Raw genomic sequence first — 20,480 nt, forward strand, 5'->3', positions numbered from 1 at the left:
AAATGTACTAGTATTTCACAGATAAAATTGTATTTCTTCTTTTGGCATGTAGTTCTGATTTTAGGGGAGAGCTTTGTAAAGATAAGTGAGCTAGACCCCATTTCAAAACAGCACTTTGTGGTTTTTTTTTTTTTTTCAAAGCGAGCAAAAATACTTTTGAAGTGTGGTTCTGAACCACTCTCTCTGTACCTTTGTATCTCCCAGGAAGTTGAAAAATAAGGTAGTAAACATTTTTTTCTTTTTGTTCTGTAAGAAATAGACAATTTTTGCTATGCCTTCCTCTTCTGGTCTAAGGGAAGGTTTATGCCCTTTTTCCCAGCCTCAGATTTACTCAGTATGTCATGAGCTGACTCTGTGAGGAAAGATGACTTATAAAACTGTTGGCTTGACAGAGTTTAGAAAGGAATACATGTAAAAACAGAAAGCTTTCCCAGAGTGATATTTCATTTCTGAAATGCAGTTTTTGGCCTTTCACTATTCTAGAGGTGACTGATTTAAATATTTGTTTTTGTTCTTTTCATCTATAAGCAATTTTAGAACTATTCCACAATAAAACATGTTCTGGCTTTTTCTTTGCAGATAAGTTTTGTAAACCTTCATTGTAAATGTGTCTTTAGTCTTCTGTGAATTAATATTTTGATAGACCTCTACTGGACCACCATAGTGTGGTAAGATGGCTAGATCTCCACCCAAAATACATATTTCCTTTGCCTTCTTAGAGTTTGGGCTAGCTGACAGAGACTGCATTTCCCAAATCTCCTTGCATGTCAGTGGAGCTTGTGACTGGGTTCCGCCAGCAGAAATAAGGGTAGAAGTGATGAGTGCCATTTATAGTCCTGGTCCATAAAATCCACCTGTGCTGTTCTTCACATTCTCCCTTCCCTAACTGTCTTTTGTGTATTGACACTTTGCTGCTAGCATTACCACAATACCTATTAGTATATTTTAATTAATATAATTAATATATAGCTAAGAGTTTGTTAGTGGTTTTAGCTAGCTTCTCCAGTTTGTATTCTCAACTAAAGTTTATTACTATTTCAACTTAAGTTTTTCGGGGGTGGGTGGATAAGTAGTGTTAAGAGGTAGTGTAGATGATTTAAATGAGATACAAAGATTTTTAAAAATCATTAGTGGATTTAGTGAATTAAATAAAGCTAATCTATACTTAGAGTTTATAAATTTAGCTGCCACATATGAAATATCTTCCAAAGATCTGAGATTCTTAAACACAAGGAACATTTCACATATCTTTGTTTTAGAGAATTTGACAAATGAAGTTAGAATTAAGATCGTATATCACCTTGGATAGATGAGCAAATTGAATTATGAATTTGCACAATTAGGAATATAATTTTCCTATAATGAAACAATCTGTAGGTGAGTTAAGAGCAAATCAGTGGATTTGATCTTATATTACCTCATTTAAATTGTTATGGTATCTAATAGGTATCTCTCTTGTCTTTTCAGTAGCCTTTGAGGACCAGTTGCCTAAAATTAAAAAGAGTATATCTGTCAATATATGTGTGTGTGTGTGTGCATGTGTGTATCTTTAATTCTTTAATTAAGGTACACTTAAACTGTAAAATGCACAGATCTCAGGTATACTACTTAATGAGCTTTGACAAATGTCTATGTCTGTGTAACTAATATACTAATCAAAATATAGGACAATTCCATTACCCTAAAAAGTTTTTTCATGCCCCTTTCCAGTCAATATGCCAATTACCTATACTTTTAATTATAAATTTTCTGTGATCAGTGTAAAGTTATATTCCAAAAGGTAGTTAGAACCCAAAATGTTATGCTTATTTACACCATCAAGGAATTCAGTAAATTCTAATATTAGGTGATGTATTTTTAAATAGAAAACATAACTTTAAAAATATTTATAAAATGAAAATTGTGAACATGCATCAAAGATCTTTTACTTAGGTGGTGTTAACAATATTTAAATTGTCCAATGCCTAAACTCAGTTATTTGTGGAGTATCCGTTCTCTTTCTTTTAATTTATGTTCTACATCAGCCAGTTTGCGCACATTAATCTCTCACTGGATTCTTTAGTAACTGTTTATTTTCTGTTCATTTGTCCACTTTTTTCTCAACCATGCTCCTTCAACACATCTCCTAACTACCTCTTCCCTGTCACCCCAAATCAGCTTGATTTCATACTACTGAATGATAGAAATAGCCTTTCATCTAGACTATTCCAGCATCTAGAAATAGCCTTTCACCTAGACTATTCCAGCATCTTGGTATTGAGTAGGTAATAAATATATTTTTATTGAATGTGTTAGTGAATTTTAAGTTGAATTGGATAACATTATGGTTCTATGGTTATAACTTATATTGCCTATATTTGCCAGGCTCTATGATAAACATTTTCCATTAAACATTCATGTTAATTAGATATTCTTGCCTCTATTTAATTGGTGAAAATATTAAAATTTATAGAAAGTTTATGTAAATTGCCCAGTGTCACATAGCTAGTATGAAACTGGTTGGTCAGACACCAAAGTCTTTGTGATAAGTCCTGCAAATTGACATGCGAATTTTGTTAGAATATTTTAAAACTTAGGACAAGTTTAAACCATCCTATTTTTCATCTTTTTATAATATTTTAGACAACATAATTTGCAAAAGCTACTTTGTTTATTATATACAAGATCATATGCAAGAAACAAAGCCTTCTACCTTAAGGAATGATGCCAGAAAAATAGCTAATGTGTTTTTGTTTTTTGAGACAGTGTCTCGCTTTTTTGCCCAGGCTGGAATGCAGTGGTGCAGTGTTGGCTCACTGCAGCCTTGACCTCCTGGGCTCAAGTGATCCTCCCCACCTCAGCCTCCCGAGTAGCTGGGACTACAGATGCGCACTACCAGGCCTGGGTAATTTTTGTACTTTTTGTAGAGGTGGGATTTCACCATGCTGCCCAGGCTGGCCTTAAACTCCTGAGCTTGCCCGCTTCTGCCTCCTAAAGTGCTGGGATTAAAAATAGCTACTGTTTGCCTGTAATCCCAGCACTTTGGGAGGCTAAGGTGGGCAGATCACCAGTGGTCGGGAGTTCAAGACCAGACTGACCAACATGGAGAAACTCTGTCTCTACTAAAAATACAAAATTAGCTGGGCATGGTGGCGCATGCCTGTAATCCCAGCTAACTCAGGAGGCTGAGGCAGGAGAATCACTTGCAGCCGGGAGGCGGAGGTTGCGGTGAGTCAAGATCGCACCATTGCACTCCAGCCTGGGCAACAAGTGTGTCCCTAACTCTGTCTCAAAAAAAAGCTCCTGTTTATTGAATCATTGATATTTACTGACTTGACACTTTACGTACATACTTTTTAACTTTTTTCTAGAATAAAAATAATTCTGATTACACTGTAATACACAAACGCATTCTTATAAAAATGCAAGCTGTAATTTTTAAATTGAGGATAAGTCCACACAGCATTAATTCATTATATAAAATGATTAATTGAGTGCATTTAATGCATTCAGAATGTTGTGCAACTCCCACCTCTTTCTAGTTTCTGGGTTGTTTCCACTTTTAGTTATTATGAATAATGCTTCTGTGAACATTTGTATGCAAACATTTCTCTTGTGTGTATTCCTAGAATTGGAATTAGTGGGTTTTATGGTAATTCAGTGTTTCTTTTTTTTTTTTTCGAGGAACTGCAATACTATTTTCCACAATGGCTAAAACATTTTACATTCCTACCAACAATTGTCCAGGTTTCCTATGCCTCCACATCATTGCCAACACTTGTTATTTTTTGGTTTTCTTCATTATAGCCATCCTACTATGTGTTAAGTGGTATTTCATTACGGTTTTGATTTGCATTTCTGTAATGGCCAATGATGTTGAACATATTTTCATGTGCTTTTTTGGCCCTTTGTAGATCTTTAGAGAAAGAAATATATATTTAAGTCTTTTGCCTGTTTTTTAATTTCATTGTCTTTATTGTTGAGTTGTAAGAATTTTTATGTATTTTGGATACTAATCCCTCATCAGATATATGATTTGCAAATATTTTCTCTCATTCTATAGTTGTCTTTTTATTTGCTTGTTATTTTACTTTGATGCACGAAAGTTAAGTTTTATGAAGTCCAATCTGTTTTTTTATTTGGTTGAACAAGTTGTAATTTTAATGTATGTGTAAATAAATTTAAAAAATAGGACTATTATTTCTATATGTTATTCTACTCCTTGTTTTTTTCACTTAAACATAGGTCTTGGAGATCTTTTTATGTTGGTACATAAGGATTGTCCCCATTCATTAATTAATAAATTACTGCATACTATAGATTATATGTTCTGTAACTTATTTTACCATTCCTCTAGGGACCTAGGGAGAAGGATTTTTGGGTTGTTGCCTATTTTAGGAAATAGCAAATAGTGAATATCTGTAGGATAGAATTCTAAGAGTATTTCTCTGTAGGATAGATTCCTAAAAGTCAAGTTTCTCGGTGAAGTGTATAAATCTTTTTTTTTTTTTTTTTTTGAGGCAAGGTCCTGCTCCCTCACCCAGGCTGGAGCGTGGTGGTGATCTCAGCTCACTGCAACCTCTGCCTCCTGGTTCAAGTGATTCTCATGCCTCAGCCTCCCAAGTAGCTGGGATTATAGGCATGTGCCACCACACCCAGCTAATTTTTGTATTTTTAGTAGAAGCAGGGTTTCACCATGTTGGCCAGGCTGGTCTCGGACTCCTGACCTCAAGTGATCCACCCACCTAAACCTCCCAAAGTGCTGGGATTATAGGTGTGAACCACTGCGCCAAGCCAGATGTGTCTATTTCTTTTAATCTGCTAGTTTTACCTTCATATATTTTGAAGCTCCGTTATTAGGGTCACAAACCTTTGTGATTGTTATATCTTCCTGATGAATTGACCATTTTTTTACTATGAAGTGTCCCTTGTAGACAGCTCTTTTATTCATTCTGACAATCTCTGATATTTAATTGGAATATTTAGTTCATTTACATTTAATGTAATTCTTATGTATGGATTTGGATACAAATCTGTTCATTCAGAAACAGTCTGATTTGCCTTTTGGGTTGATATGATATTTTTTAGAATTTTATTTTAATTTTTCTATTGACTTTTTATCTATACTTCTTTGCTTTTTATTTTTAGTGGTTGCTCTAATGATAAAATATACATTCTCAACTTCTTGCAATGTACCTAATAATGTACTGCTTCAGATAAAATATGTTTCTTGTAAATAGGTCATTCTATTCTCATTTTAAGGAATCTAAGAGTTAGGAATGCTAAGTGTAATGCCTAATATACCTAGCTGATAACTACCTAATACCTAAATTTCAAAGGTTAAGTCAAACTTATATTTGCAGAATATACCCAGTTTGGTTTTGGTATATATTATTTCCTTTTTTAAATTTCTGTGTTCTGTGTGCTAATATTTTGTTTAAGAGTTTGGCTTCTATATGAGTAAGATAAATTGGCTTGTAAATTTCCTGTATTATAATGTTCTTGTCAGGTTTTCTTATCAAAGTTACGCTGAACTCATAAAACGAGGTCACAGTATTTTCCCCTTTTTCTAAACCCTGAAAGGGTCTGTTACAGATTGGCATTACATTTTTCTTAAGCATTAGGTAGAATTTGTTGGTGAAACTATCTGGCCCTTAACTTTCTTTGTGGAAGGTTTATAATTACATATTCAGGTTTATTTCATGGTTTTATGAGTATTTAAATTTCCTTTTCTTGTGTTGGTTTTTGATAAGTTCTATTTCTAAATTTCCTCTAAATTTTACATTTATTGGCAAAGCATTATTATGGCTTATACATATTTTTTGTTTGCCTTTTCTCTATTTTTTCTTCATCAATTTTGCCAGGGGTTTATTGAAAAAATTCTTTCAAAGGATGATCATTTGGCATTGTTGATCATTTTCATTGTATGCTTTAGTAATTTCTGCTTTTTTGTGTTAAATTTTCTGTTATTTTCATAAGTTTTTGAGATAGATTCTTTGATAACTGATTAATAGTCCCTCTTCTTTCCTAATACAGATGCTCCTTGACTTACAGTGGGGTTATGTCCCCATAAACCCATTGTAAGTTGAAAATATTATAAGTTGAAAACACATTTAATACACCTAACCTACTGAACGTTATAGCTTAGCCTATCCTACCTTAAACATGCTCAGAACACTTACGTTAGCATATAGTTGGGCAGAATCATCTAACACAATGCCTGTTTCATACTAAAGTGTTGAATCTCATATAGTTTATTGAATATTTTGCTAAAAGTGAAAAACAATGATTGTATGGGTACTTGATTTACAGTTATACTGAATGTGTATTATTTTTATACCATTGTAAATTGAAAAATTGCAAGTTGAGCTATCATAAGTTGGGGACTGTCTGTAATATTCATTTAAGTCCCTAAGGTACAGCTTTAGCCATATTCTACAAATTCAACATGTATTGTTACTCATTATTTAATTCAAATATTTTATAATTTATATTGTGAGTTGTTTGAACTCTGTTCCTTACTGTCCAAACATTTGGAGATTTTCTGCTTATATTTTTGTTATTTCTAGTTTCTTGTATTGTGATCAAAGAACATATTCTGTATGGTTTCTGTCTACTGAAATGTATTGAGACTTCTGTGGCCTGGCATATGTCAGCCTTTTTTTTTTTTTTTTTTTTTTTTTTTGAGACGGAGTTTCACTCTTATTGCCCAAGATGGAGTGCAATGGCGTGATCTTGGCTCACCGCAACCTCCACCTCCTGGGTTCAAGTGATTCTCCTGCCTCAGCCTTCCAAGTAGCTGGGATCACAGGCACACGCCACCATGCCCAGCTAATTTTTTATATTTTTAGTAGAAACGGGATTTCACCATGTTAGCCAGGCTGGTTTTGAACTCCTAACCTCAGGTGATCCGCCCGCCTCGGCCTCCCAAAATGCTGGGATTACAGGCGTGAGCCACTGCACCAGGCCCGGTATGTCAACTTTGGTAACTATTTCGTGGGTACTTAAAATGAAACTGCTTTGCAGTAGTGTGCAGTGTTCTAGCAAATATTCGTTAGGTGAAGGTTGACAATCATGTTATTAAAGTCTTCTGTATCTTTACTGATTATTTTGTTTGTTCTTGCTGAGTTATTTTAAAATCTACCATTGTGCTTGTGGATTTGTCTACTTTTATTTCAATAAATTTTTCTTTATTGATAAATTTAGACTTCTTAAAATTTCCAAGTGAACTAATTTTATTATCAATATTAAGTTAAAGTGTGCCTCTTTAATTTCATAATGCTTTTTTGTCTCAGCATCTTTATCTGATATGAATATAGCTATATCAATTTTCTTTGATTTTTGTTTACATGGTCTGTCATTTTTATTTTCTTATTAGAATTTTTATCCCTTTTTTAAGAAGTTTTTCTTGTAAATGACAAGGAAATATATTTTATTTGGACAGTCTTTATCTTTTGTTTAGACAGTTTAGTCCATTTCCATATAATGTGCTTTCTAGTATATTTGGATTTAAACTTAGTATTTTACTGTTTGATTTTTATTTATTCCATGTCATGTTTTTCCCACTTTTTTTGTGTCCTTTTGGGTAGATTGTTTCCTATTACTTTATTATCCCCTTTTATTAGGTACACATTCTTTTATTCTTCTATTAATGATTACCCTAGAGATTACAACAGATACCATTGATTTATCATAATCTAACATAAATTAGTACTTTAGTTTCCTCCCTACAGCATAGTGACCTCAGAATATTATAACTACACTTGTGCTCCTTCTGACTCATATACATTTGTTGTCATAGCTTTTTTTTTTTTTTTTTGAGACAGAGTCTTGCTCTGTTGCCCAGGCTGGAGTGTAGTGCGCGATCTCGGCTCACTGCAAACTCCCTCTCCCAGGTTCACGCCATTCTCCTGCCTCAGCCTCCCGAATAGCTGGGACTACAGGTGCCCGCCACCGGGCCCGGCTAATTTTTTGTATTTTTAGTAGAGACGGGGTTTCACCGTGTTAGCCAGGATGGTCTTGATCTCCTGACCTCGTGATCCACCCACCTTGGCCTCCCAAAGTGCTGGGATTACAGGCTGTCATAGCTTTTAACCTGTTACTTGATTTCAACCAAACTTTTTTATTGTTTCATAATGTCAATCAATGTACATATATATTTTGTATATATTTACCATTTTTGTTGCTCTTTATCTTTCCCTGTGTCACCGATCTTCTAACTAGAGTCATTTTCCTTGTACCTGAAAACATTCTTTAGTTAGTTTCTTTAGTGTGGCTCTTTTGGTGATGAATTGGCTCACTTTTTGGTTGTCTGAAAATCTTTACCCTTCATTCTTGAATATCATCCGTAGGTATAAAAATATAGGTTGCTTTTATTATCACTTTGAAAATATTCTGTTGTATAGTATCTTCCATTCTTTTTCCTGCAAGGTCAGCTACTTGTCTATTTGTTTTTTTGTTTGTTTGTTTGTTTGTTTTTTGATTTTTTTTTTTTGATTTTTTTTTTTTATTTTGAGACAGGGTCTTGCTGTGTGGCCCAGGCTGGAGTGCAGTGGTGCAGTCACGGCCCACTGCAGCCTCATTCTCCTAGGCTCAAGCAGTCCTCCTACTTCAGCTTTCCAGGTAGCTAGTGATACAGGCATGAGCCACCCTGTGCCCAGCTAATTTTTCTAATTTTTGTAGAGATGGGGTTTTGCCATGTTGCCCACGCTGGTCTCAAATTCCTGGGCTAAAATGATCCTCCCGTCTTAGCCTCCCAAAGTGCTGGGATTACATGGGTGAGCCACTGTGGCCAGACCAGTTGTTGCTTTTTTGTAGGTGATCTGTTGTTATTTCTTCTGGCTGCTTTTAACAAACATTTTGCTGTCTCAAGCACCTGCTTGTGGTTTTTTGTTTGTTTTTGGTTTTCATTTTGTTTTGGTTTTGGTTCTGGTTCTTGGAAGAAGATCTTGAATCTGTGGCTTGATTTTTAAAATCAGTTAAGTTTTCAGCTTTTATTTCTTCAGATACTTCTGTATCATTTCTTTTCTTCTATCATTTGGGATTCAGATTATAGGTATCCACACCCTTGTTAAGTATACTTTTTTCTATAATTTTTCTAATTCTCACATAGTTTTTTGTTTTATATAGTTTTTCTTCTTATTTATTTTTGTAAGGTAATGATCAGTTATTTTCTTCCATATGGATACCTCATATACCTTTCTTCCCAATCTTTAAAACAACCTTGCCAAAATTATTTTTTGCCATTTTTACAGATATTATTCAGAGAGGTTAACGCCCTTGCCTAACTTCACAGAGCAGCCAAGCAATCAGAGCTAACATTTGAATCAAAGTCAAATCAATTTAGTATTTCTTGCTCTAATTTATTATATGAGGTTATGGTTCCTTTTTTCTGTTTTGCTCACTTGATTTTTGGAGATGAGCTGTTATTCAAAATGTTGCATACATTAATGAATTAGTCTGTCTTAAAATAACATTTTTCCATTTCACCTATATTTATTAGATAAATAGAAGTGTACAAATTTATGGGCCAAATATTATCCCCCTTAAGGAATTTATTTTCTACATGGAAACAAGAATGTATACAGTTTATTCTGATAGAGGATACGAAGAGATAGTTTCCATGGTTAGAAACAAATAAGAAGGTAGTGTCTCAAGTGATGGAATTAAGAAAGAATTCATTGGGTAGGTAGAAGTTATGAAAAGAAAAGATGGTAATGTGAGGATTTTTGTTTGTTTACAAGAGTGAAAAACAGTTTGTTATTACAAATAAAGAAAATCAGTACTAATATTTCATGTTCTATTTCCCCCAACAAATCTCTTTGTACATACTTTGTCACTAATTGAATAGTCATGTAAGCAGTGAAATTTTGTACGTCATGATACATTATACACAGTGATTGAAAAAGTCTTTTTTCCCCAGGTTATTTCATTTCTGGCTGCAGTTTTGCATAAAAAGGGAACTCGTGAGGATATTGAAAATAACATGCCAGAGTTTTTACTAAGAAGTATGAAAAAGGAACCCCTTTCTTCTACAGCAAAAAAGGTAAAATCTCTAGACAATGTATATTCTACTCATGATGCTGGTATTACAAAAGCATATAGAAATATTTAAATATCACACATTAAAATGTATTGGTATACATTTTAAAACCTAAGAATTTAAAGATGTTATTAAAATATTTGTTTTATAGGCCTAATTTTTGAAAGATTACCAATTTTATTCCCAAGTTAAATTTGATTGACTGTCATGGCAAAACAGAATTTCAGCTTGGTTTTGCTTTGAGGTTTTAATCTGTTGGTTGGCTGGATTTACATGATTTACTTAGGTTGATTTGTTAAACTTACAGAATGTATATGTAAAGTTAATTGAAACCTTCATTATATTGTTTTTTATTTATGTGAGAATGAAAAGGCGATAGTTACAGATATTGGTAACAAAAGTGCGTCATTGACTTATTTCAAGTTGCCTAGCTAATTGCATCCAAAAAATATGAAATAAGTTCTACCAATATAGGAAAGTTGGAATCAGAAAGACTAGGTAGGTCTGTGCTTATTTCTCTTTCTGCCCATATGACTGAATGCTATTCATATCCATACTTCAGTTTTCTTCTTCATAAACGTATGTTTATAAATACGTTATATATGATTCTTACAAAAAAGATTTCTAATAAAGCAATGAAATATAAAAAAGTATATTATACTTACATGTCTTTTAAAAAATATTATCCTCAGCCTCCAGGAAACCAGATAAGAATAAAAATGAAGTGATTTTATGAAATCTTTTATTATATTTGGTAATGAGCTACTTACAGCAAGTTTTAAAACAGACTCTTTTATACAAGTCTTATGTACAAGATTGCTGAGAAGTCCAAGTTTACTCTTGTCTATCATAAAGACCATTTCAATGCAAACTTTTCAGAACTACTGGCTTAAGATATAATTGCTATCATTTTAAATTCTCTTTATTTTTCAGTAGAATAAATGCATCCTGAGTATCAGATTCAATGTGATCCTGAAGAGAATAATGGTTCTTAATGTATTTTAAGTATTCAATAGCTCAAGTACTGTTTTTAGCTCTGGATTCAGTTGTTCCCTGGTTCTAAATGTCACCACAGAGCCTATATATATCTCTTTTATGCCACTGTGACAGCAGATAGAAGAGAGAACAAAGAAGGAAAAGTAATATTTTAAATATATTAAAATACTTAAAGATATTTAAAATATTATAGAACAAGAATGGGCCAGGCGCAGTGATTCATGCCTGTAATCCCAGTACTTTGGGAGGCCAAGGAAGGCGAATTGCTTGAGCCCAGGAGTTAAAGACCAGCTTGGGCAACATGTCAAAACCTCTTCCCTACTAAAAATACAGAAAATTAGTCAGGTGTGGTGGTGTGTGCCAGTAGTCCCAGGTACTTCGGAGGCTGAAGTGGGAGGATCACTTGAGCCTGGGGAGGTTGAGGCTGCGGTGAGCCATGTTTGCACCACTGCACTCCAGCCAGGGCAATAAAGTGAGACCCCTGTCTCAAAAAAGAACAAGAATGAAAGAAAAGAAAGTTAACAAAGATACTCATTTGATAATGTGGTAAAATATGCTTATAATAGTTACCTCAGTTGACTCCAGTTCCTCTCCTTCCTTCTTTCCTTTCTTTCTTTTTTTCTCTTTATATATATATGTGTGTGTGTGTGTGTGTGTGTGTGTGTGTGCGTATGTATGCATATGCGATGTATCATATCACACACACACATATACAGTTGTCCCTTGGTATCCATGTGGGATTGGTTCCAGGACCTCTCTTGGGTACCAAAATGTGTGGATTCTCAAGTCCTTGATATAAAATAGTGTATTTGCATATAACCTGTTATCCTCCCATATACTTTAAATCATCTGTAGTTTACTTAGTGCAATGTAAAGTCTACATAAATAGCTTTTATATTGTATTGTTTAGGAAATAATGACAAGGTCTGCGTACATGTTTAGTGCAGATGGAATTTTTTAGTATTTCAATTTGTAGTTAGTTGAATCCACTGATATGAAACCCACAGATATGGAGGAACTGTAAATTCCTTGCTATAATGTACATTGCTATTTACCTTCTTCAGTTGATTTCTTAATTTATTTATTTTCAGTCTTTTTGTATTCTAATAAATTACCTTAAAGCTATAAGTGTTCCTTTGGGCCAGGCATGGTTGCTCACACCTGTAATCCCAGCACTTTGGGAGGCTGATGCTGGAGGATCGCCCAGGAGTTTGAGACCGGCCTGCGCACCATAAGAATACCCTGTCTTTACAGAAAATAAAAAAATAAAACAATTAGCCAGGTGTGGTAGTGTGTGTCTGTGGTCTCAGCTACTGGGGAGGCTGAGGTGAGAGAATCGCATGAGCCCAGGAGTTCTAGGCTGCAGTGAGCCGTGATCATGCCAATGCACTCCAGCCTGGGCAACAGAGAAGACCCTGTCTCAAAAAAAAAAAAAGTTCCTTTCAGTACTCCTTTGTCTGTGTTCTATAGTTTTTAATATGTAGTTTTTTCGTTAGTCTTTTCTAAATTATCTGTGGCCCTAATTTTTATTCTCTTTTACCCAAGTACTATTTGAAAGAGAAATTAAAAAATTTCCAAGTGAATAGCTATTGTTGGGGCTCAGGATGATGGGAGGGCTGAACCCTTTTTGACAATTCTAGTTTTGTTGCATCAGATAACAGCCTTGATATTTTTTTCTTTGTGATTACATCCATGGATCAGTTTTTATGCTTTGATGTAGTGCATTGTGTAGTCTCTGTTGTTTTAAAATGTTGCTTATATTGTGCATTCTTTGTAATCATGGTCACATGGTTTTATATATTTCTATTTAATCATGTTTGTTAATTGCATTGTTAAAATGTTTAATAGTGTTATTTTCTTCTTGTCTGAACAGTTGGATCTGGAAAGAAAAACGTTAAATTTTTTTATTTCTCTTTGTGTTCATACCAACTTTTTCTTAACGTCTTCAGTTAATTCTTCAGAGGCCAGGTGTGGTGGCTTGTGCCTGTAGTCCCAGCTACTCAGGAGGCTGAGGTAGTAGGATCACTTGAGCTCAGGAGGTTGAGGCTGCAGTGAGCCATGACTGTGCCACTGCACTCCAGCTTGGGTGACAGAGTGGTACTCTGTCTCAGAAAAAAAAAAAAAAATTCTTCAGTAAATTTTATGTGTTTGTATATTGCTCTCACACTTGATTATCCATAGGCTTATCTGCCTATGGAATTTTAAGTTCAAAATTTTCTTTTATAATGACAAAACATCTTCTGTCACTCCATATTGCAGATGAGAGTTCAGTGTCAACCCGATTTTTTTCCTTGGAAAGGATTTTTTTTTTAATTGTTTGGAAGTATTAAGGACTTTTTTAATTGATGAAATTTGGAAATTTCCATGAGCCCTAACACTCACCATAGAATTCTTCCAAATAAGTTTTGCTTTAGAAAATATATATACAGTGCTTTATGCAGGGAAAGTTGCATACTGATGCTAGAATCAGTTTCTTTGATGACTGGTGTAACTTTTCCTTCTTAAAATTACTTGGCCATTATTTTTCTTGACTTAGTCTTTCCAACTACCTTAGCTGTTTTGTTGAGTTTTGTTTTGCTTGTTGTTGTTTTTAGGTTCCTTCTAGGAAAAGTAAATTTTTTAGCGGGGGAGGGCAGGGGGAGTTTTTGCTTTCAGAGGTGTAGGGCGGATTGCTCAGTTCTTCAGGTGTGCCAGTTCTCATCTGCTCCTGCACTGTTCTGACCTGCTGGTACTGCCCTTCCAGGCATTCTGCCACTATTATGGATTTATTATGTTTGTTCTTTTGTTTCATTGGCATCAATACAAACGTGTTGAGTTAGTCATTTGAACTGGAATTTAGAGTTTTTAATGGCATCACCAGTGACATTCTACAGTATTTCCCAGAAGTAAATACAAACAAAAATTATAACTTTGAAAGTTTTAAAAGATAAATTTGTATTGGTTCATTTAAAACAATGTATGTTTTAAAAAGACAGTTTATGAAATGGAGAAGAAATCATTTCTTTTGTATTTATTATGCTAATGCCAGAATTACAATTGAATTCTGAAAAATTAATGTTGAAGCTTGTTGAAGAAAGCCCTTTAATGAACTGAATGTTACAAATTAAGGAGTGGTGGGTCTAAGGTATGTGTGTGTGATACGATACATCTCATATACATTTAAAAACTTTTCAAGTGTGAATAAATCATCTGAATAAGAATGCATGAATGTTTTGTGCCAAGAATAAATTCTTAAAGGAAAAGACACAAGCTCTACATTTTAAACATTGATTTTTGGAATGGTTCTTTAGATGTAGGCTAAGTTTTGATTGAAATTCAATTTTTATGAATCATAATAAATTTATTATAAAATATTACTATCTTGCATGATGAAGCTTTAGAGATTCTAAGTAAAATTCATAATTAATGCAAAAGAGGAGGATTTTTGTAGCAATCACAACACCAGCATCGGAAGCAATTTCAATGACAATTTAACAAAAATATTTTATAATTATTTTATTTACTATACACTATTTTTTTAGTTCTTCATATGTACCAAGAGGATTATGTTGCACATGATGCTACCGTGAGCATCCTTATGCACAACTTTTGCAATAATAACTGTAGGATAAATTCTTAGTACTGGAATTGGATAGCAGGTAGAGCTGGATTTAGGGGATTACTTTTTGATAACTGGAGTTAAATTACCCCATATCCCCACGAGTGATGTATAAGAATGTCTGTTTCCACCTTTTCGTTTGCACTAGGTATTAGCAAACATAAATTTATGACTACCTGAGAGATTTAAAATTTTTATCTTGCTTTGATTTACATTTCTTAATGAGTGAAGCTGTAGCATTTCAGATGTTTAAAAGCTATTTTTAAATCTAATTCTCGTTTTTAATCATAGTCCTTGATTAATAGTCCTTAACGATATATCCTGGAATCTAATTTTTTGTTCATTATATATTTTGAAAATATTTCTTCCCCATGTAGAGTCAGCTTTGAATTATTTATTGATTTTTTAAAAATGTTTATGTGGTTACATGTATTGGTCTGTATAGTTTCTGGGTTTTATGTTTGCCTAGAAAAGCCTTTTGTACTCTAAATTTATAAATACATTCATTCATGGTTCTTTTATAATATGTGTGATTTTATTTTATACCTTTATATCTTTGTTTCAGCTAGAATTTATTTTGCTGTAGGTGTCTAGTAATCCAATTTTATTTTCCTCAGTTGGTTAACCAGTTATCTTAATGTCATTTGTTGAGTAAGCCTGCTTTTCCACAGTGATTTGAAGGGCCACTTTGGTGTAAAATTAAACTCATTTCTATTTCTAGACGTATTATTCTGTCCTAATTATTTGTTCATTTCTCTTCCAGTGCTAAACAGTTTTAGTTATTTTAGCTTTATAATGTAATTTATTATTTGGTAGTTACTCCTCAAGTTTTCTCAACTTATGAAAAATAAATTTTCTCAAATTTCTCCTCAAAACCTATTGATATATTAGTTGATGTTGTGTTGAATTTATAGTTAACTTTGCTTGTCATTTCCATTCTTATATTTCTTATTTACTTCTCTTTTTTAATTGCAAGAGTTGATATTTATTGATCTGGTTTGTAACTTTCTGTTTTGATAGAATATCAAGTTTTGGCATAATGCCAAACTTTAATACTTCATATAGTACTTAGAAAATAGAAGGTGTTCAATTGATGAATGAATTAATAATTGAAGCCATACATGTCAGTGCTAAGTTAGGACTAATAATGTATGTTCAGAGGACAGTGACAGTAGAGTTGAAACAAAGGTTTCACATGGGAAGAAGTGTGATATCAAAATGAAAAATAAATTATACCTTTACAGAAAAATTACAGAATGTAAAATTGGAATCTTTGCTAGAAAACTCAAAGTACTAAAAAAAAAGTTTTCGTATTTATCTCTACAATCTTAACTCTCTCAAAAATACCCAACATAGGTAATTAATTTATTTAATGCCAAAACTTGATATTCTGTCAAAAATTAGGCTGTTTTTATACAAAGGACTTGGAAGAGCCCCTGACTACAGTGGATTCTAAACTGAAATTTCTGTATATGAAATAACTGCAGCATACTGAAGGAGAAAATGATCAGCTATACACACAGTAGGGTGTAAATTAATTATGTTAGGTATTTTTGAGAGAGTTAAGGTTGTGGCGATAAATACAAGGCTTTTTTTAGACCTTTGAGTTTTCTAGCAAAGATTCCAATTTTATGTTCCGTAATTTTTCTGTAAAGGTATAATTTATTTTTCATTTTGATATCACACTTCTTTCCACGTGGAACCTTTGTTTCAACTCTACTGTAATCTCACTGTCCTCTGAACATATATTATTATTCCGAACTTAGCATTGACATGTATGGTTTCATGTATTCATTCATCAATTGAATACCTTCTATTTTCTAGGTACTATATGAAGTACTGAAGTTAAGGTAAATAAAGTTACACATCTCAAGGACGTAGACTTTTTGATTGAAGGTGCTAACAGGATATGTCATGGTAGTTAAGAGTTTTAGAATTAGGCAGACCTGGGTTCAAATACTTACTTTGCTACTTAATAGCAGTATGACCTTGAGTGTGTTGCTTAATATCTCTGTACCTCAGTTTCCTCATCTGTGTTTCTGGGTAAAGTCCCTGAATTAATTTCTGTAAACTACTTCTAAAGGCCTTGGCACACAGTAAGTGCTCAATAATTGTTATGTTATTATTAATACTATTACTACTTCTGCCACAAAAATTGTCACGTTAATCTTTGAGTATCTCATCACAGTCCACACTACATCATTCTTCTATGCCGTGGTTCCTGAGGAATCAGATTTGATAGAAAACTCCTTAATAATTGAGCAAGATTTATTGAAAGATATAAATAATTCAGTATTCTCTAGTTGCATTATTTAACCTAGCTTCTGTTAATTTTAATAATACGTAAGCAAATGAATTTTAATTTTATTTGTGTTAATTTTATATTCAGTTTTATAAAATTGTATTTTAGCTTCAGAATAAGAATTATCACCCTTCCCCCATGTCTACAGCAATACCACTCTGAACACACCACATCTCGTCTGATCTTGGAAGCTAAGCAGGGTCGGACCTGGTTAGTACTTGGATTAGAGGAATAGCTCCCAGAGTTGCTTTGTGTGTAGTGACTTAGCAGTTGGACACTGCTTTCCATTTTATTATTTTGGCATCATTTGCTTAAAAAAGACTTATTAAATGAAATATTATTTATTGGATTGTAGGAAATGCTAAGTTCTTATGTACTTTCCCTGGACTCTGCATAATAGCATAACTCAGTTCTCTGACATCTTTCACTACCAAAATGAATTTTTGAACCATTATTTCACCTTTCATAATTTTGAAGACCAATGTTTGTAAGAAATATCAAGAATTATGTTGCCACCTTAATTTTTAAACATCTTCTGGAATCTTAGGGCTGATGCCAGGACTCTTTAGATTCATTGGCACCTTTGATGAATGGCCTCTCAAGTGGAAAACTACTAAGACTGCTCAGATGCAATTTGCACCTAGCATTGTCATCTCGTAATATACAAAAAAATCAAAGGGAGACACTGTAATTGGACTTAGTAATTGGAGGCCTAATTTCATATTTGAAAGTTAAAAATGGAAATCATAGGATTAACCTTCACCCAAAGGACGGACATACTTGAGATGAATCAAGTATAAGAAGTACTTACATATGCTTGATGATGGCTTGGGAAAAAGGAACTCTCACGTTCAGCATGTTGATTTTCTTTCGTTTTCTTCTTTCTCTTTCCAAAACACAGTCACAAATTTGACTTTTTAGAGTTGACAAATGGCCTAGGTTAAATGTTTCACAGAAAACAGAGCAGAATTTAGAGCAGTATTGTATTATTTCTTGGTTAAACTGAATTTTTTCAGTATGTTTAATTGGTTCATCTCTATCAAGTAGATCAAGTATAAAACTTTAGAAAATAATCGTACTGGTAACCCTATTAAACTTAACAGGATAGGAATAGTGGTAACAGGGAGAAATAAAAACATTAAAAAGTTAAAATGGTTGATGACAGCAGGATTCTGGGTTAGTACAGGAAAGGTACATGAATGTGAGGAATAACCAGAGAGTTACGTTGGTAATCCTCAGAGGGACTGATTTGGTAGGCATTATTAGGGCACAAGTCCCATTTACCTGAGTTTCAAGAGAGAGCAGGAGGAGAGTTAAGCACTGATAACTCTTGATCTTTGCTATAGGGAGAGTAGAGTAATGAGGTAATAGAGATAGATGTTGGGTTAAGGAAAAGAAGTTTTAAAAAATTTTTGTTTTTCGGATTTTTTTAACCCTGGGAAATATTCTAACATGCTTGTCCATAGGTGATGTGGTTCATTAAAATGGAAAAGTTAATCAGGTAGGGGAGATTGGGGGCAGTTTCTGCAGCATTGACTTTAGGTTGGCAAGAAGGAATGGGAGCCACTGTATGAGGGGTTTTTTTGGAGAAGAACATGAGCAGCGTACCCATGGCAACAGGTGGGAGGGCAAAATATATGGAAATGAATATAGATAGGTTATTGATAGGATACTGAGAGAAGTTCATCCAGGAAGTTTTCTTCTGATTGCTTCAATTTTCCAGTGAATTTTCCAGTTCTTTAACTGAGAGTATCTGAAAGAGGGGGAGCGGAAATGGGCTAGGAAAATGCAGAAGGAAAGAGAGCTCCAGGAGACCATATATTTCAAGAACACGTGGCCTGCTTGTGTATGTACATTACCCACTTGGCCTTTGAAGCTATTACTGGGATCCAGATTTTATTCTTTTCTCTCTTTTGGAAAGTTACTTCTCTCTCATTTCTCAGTGCCTTTTTGGTAGGGGGAAATAAAAAACACGTGTTTCTTTGAGCAAGGTTAGGTGTCTGTCTTGTCCTGATAAAAAGCTAATTAAACAGCAAATTATTTTTTGAGAATCTTCAATGTCCAGATATAGCTAATCACTCAGTTGTATTTATTGTTACTAACTAGATGTCAAAATTAAGGAAGAGGACTATTGATATTGATATTGTGGATTTCACTTTGGGATTCTTTTTCAGTTTTTAAAAAACAGCAAAATTTTTTTATTCTTGTTTTAGATGTTCTTAATAGTTGCTCCTCTTTCTGTCCTCTACAACTGGAAGGATGAATTGGACACCTGGGGATATTTCAGAGTCACTGTTTTACATGGAAACAGAAAAGATAATGAATTAATTCGTGTAAAGCAGAGGAAATGTGAAATTGCTCTAACAACTTATGAAACACTACGCTTATGCCTGGATGAACTTAACAGGTAATGGGAATAATAGGAATAGGAATGATTGTATTAATAGTCTACTTACATCCCTTTATATTAAGAGTTTTTTTTTTTTTTTTTTTGAGACAGAGTCTTGCTTTTGTGTTTTTAGTAAAGACGGAGTTTCGCCACGTTGCCCAGGCTGGTCTCGAACTCCTGAGCTCAGGCAATCCACCCACCTCAGCCTTCCAAAGTGCTAGGATTATAGGTGTGAGCCACCGTGCCAAGCCTATATTGTGATTTTTTAAAAAGGAATAATGATGATTCCTTTGCTTGATTTAATTTCATTTTAGAATTATTGAAATATTTAGTTCATAATAACTTACTCTCTGAGAAGGAAAAACCTGCATCAGGTTTTCTAGAACTTCTTATTCTATTTCTTACATTGAATACAGGATACTTCTTCAAACACTGATTGTTAAAGAATGATAAGACTTGTCCTAAATCTCATGTACAGCCTTTTATGCAGACACTGCCTCTGAACTAGGTCAGTAATTTTCATGAATTATTTCAATTATGGGAGTCTGTTGTGAATATAGAGGGGCAAAAACTACACACACACACACACACACACACACACACCCCCACACCCACACACCCACTGTAGCATAGAGTGTGAGGGAGAAGTGGCCAAGAGGTAACACCAGTGAGATAAGCAGGGAAAAGATTATAGAGAGTATTGGAAGGTACTTTGAGGATTTTGATCTTTATCCTGAGAGCAATAGAGTGCCCCCTACAGTGTTGTCAGCAGATTACCGATAGGATAAAAATGATCAGATTTGCACTTTGTAAATACCTTAGCTTCTGTGTGTGCAGATAAAGGAGAGCCAAGCTGAATGGAGAAGGACCAATTAAGAGGCTTGTTATGTGCTGAATTGTGTCGCTTCTCCTCAACCCCCATTCCACAATTTAAATGTTCAGGTCTCAACCCCAGCACCTCAGAATGTAACTGTGTTTAGAGACAGGTCTCTTTGATTAAGTTTTAAAGAGGTGATTAAAACCGAGGCTGATTGGGTGGGGCCTGGGTCCAGTATGACTGGTATCCTTATAGGAAGAGAAAGAGACACCAAGGACACACACACACCACAGAGGAAGGGACTTGTGAGGACACAGCAAGAAGGCAGTCATCTGCAAGCCAAGGGGAGAGGCTTCA

The 20,480-nt window shown here is 34.1% G+C and overlaps 1 protein-coding gene and 1 pseudogene across 15 annotated transcripts in view; both read left to right on the forward strand.

Moving 5' to 3' along the window:
• Nucleotides 1-20,480, forward strand: part of ERCC6L2 (ERCC excision repair 6 like 2) — a 165,402-nt gene that overhangs the window by 12,257 nt on the left and 132,665 nt on the right. For 14 of the 15 annotated variants that reach the window (NR_164677.1, NM_001375291.1, XM_047423357.1 and 11 more), the window contains exons 3-4: nucleotides 9,902-10,024; nucleotides 19,131-19,324. Coding sequence is in view for 13 of the 15 variants with exons in the window: in NM_001375291.1 (NP_001362220.1) it covers nucleotides 9,902-10,024; nucleotides 19,131-19,324 (317 nt within the window). In the remaining 2 variants the exon portion in view is untranslated. Of the gene's footprint in view, nucleotides 1-9,901; nucleotides 10,025-19,130; nucleotides 19,325-20,480 lie in introns of those variants that run through there. The other variant, XM_047423356.1, reaches the window with a different exon arrangement.
• On the forward strand, nucleotides 17,058-17,194 carry RNA5SP289 (RNA, 5S ribosomal pseudogene 289; annotated as a pseudogene).

Source organism: Homo sapiens, chromosome 9 (genome assembly GCF_000001405.40).
Source record: "Homo sapiens chromosome 9, GRCh38.p14 Primary Assembly".
NCBI classification, from domain to species: Eukaryota; Metazoa; Chordata; class Mammalia; order Primates; family Hominidae; genus Homo; species Homo sapiens.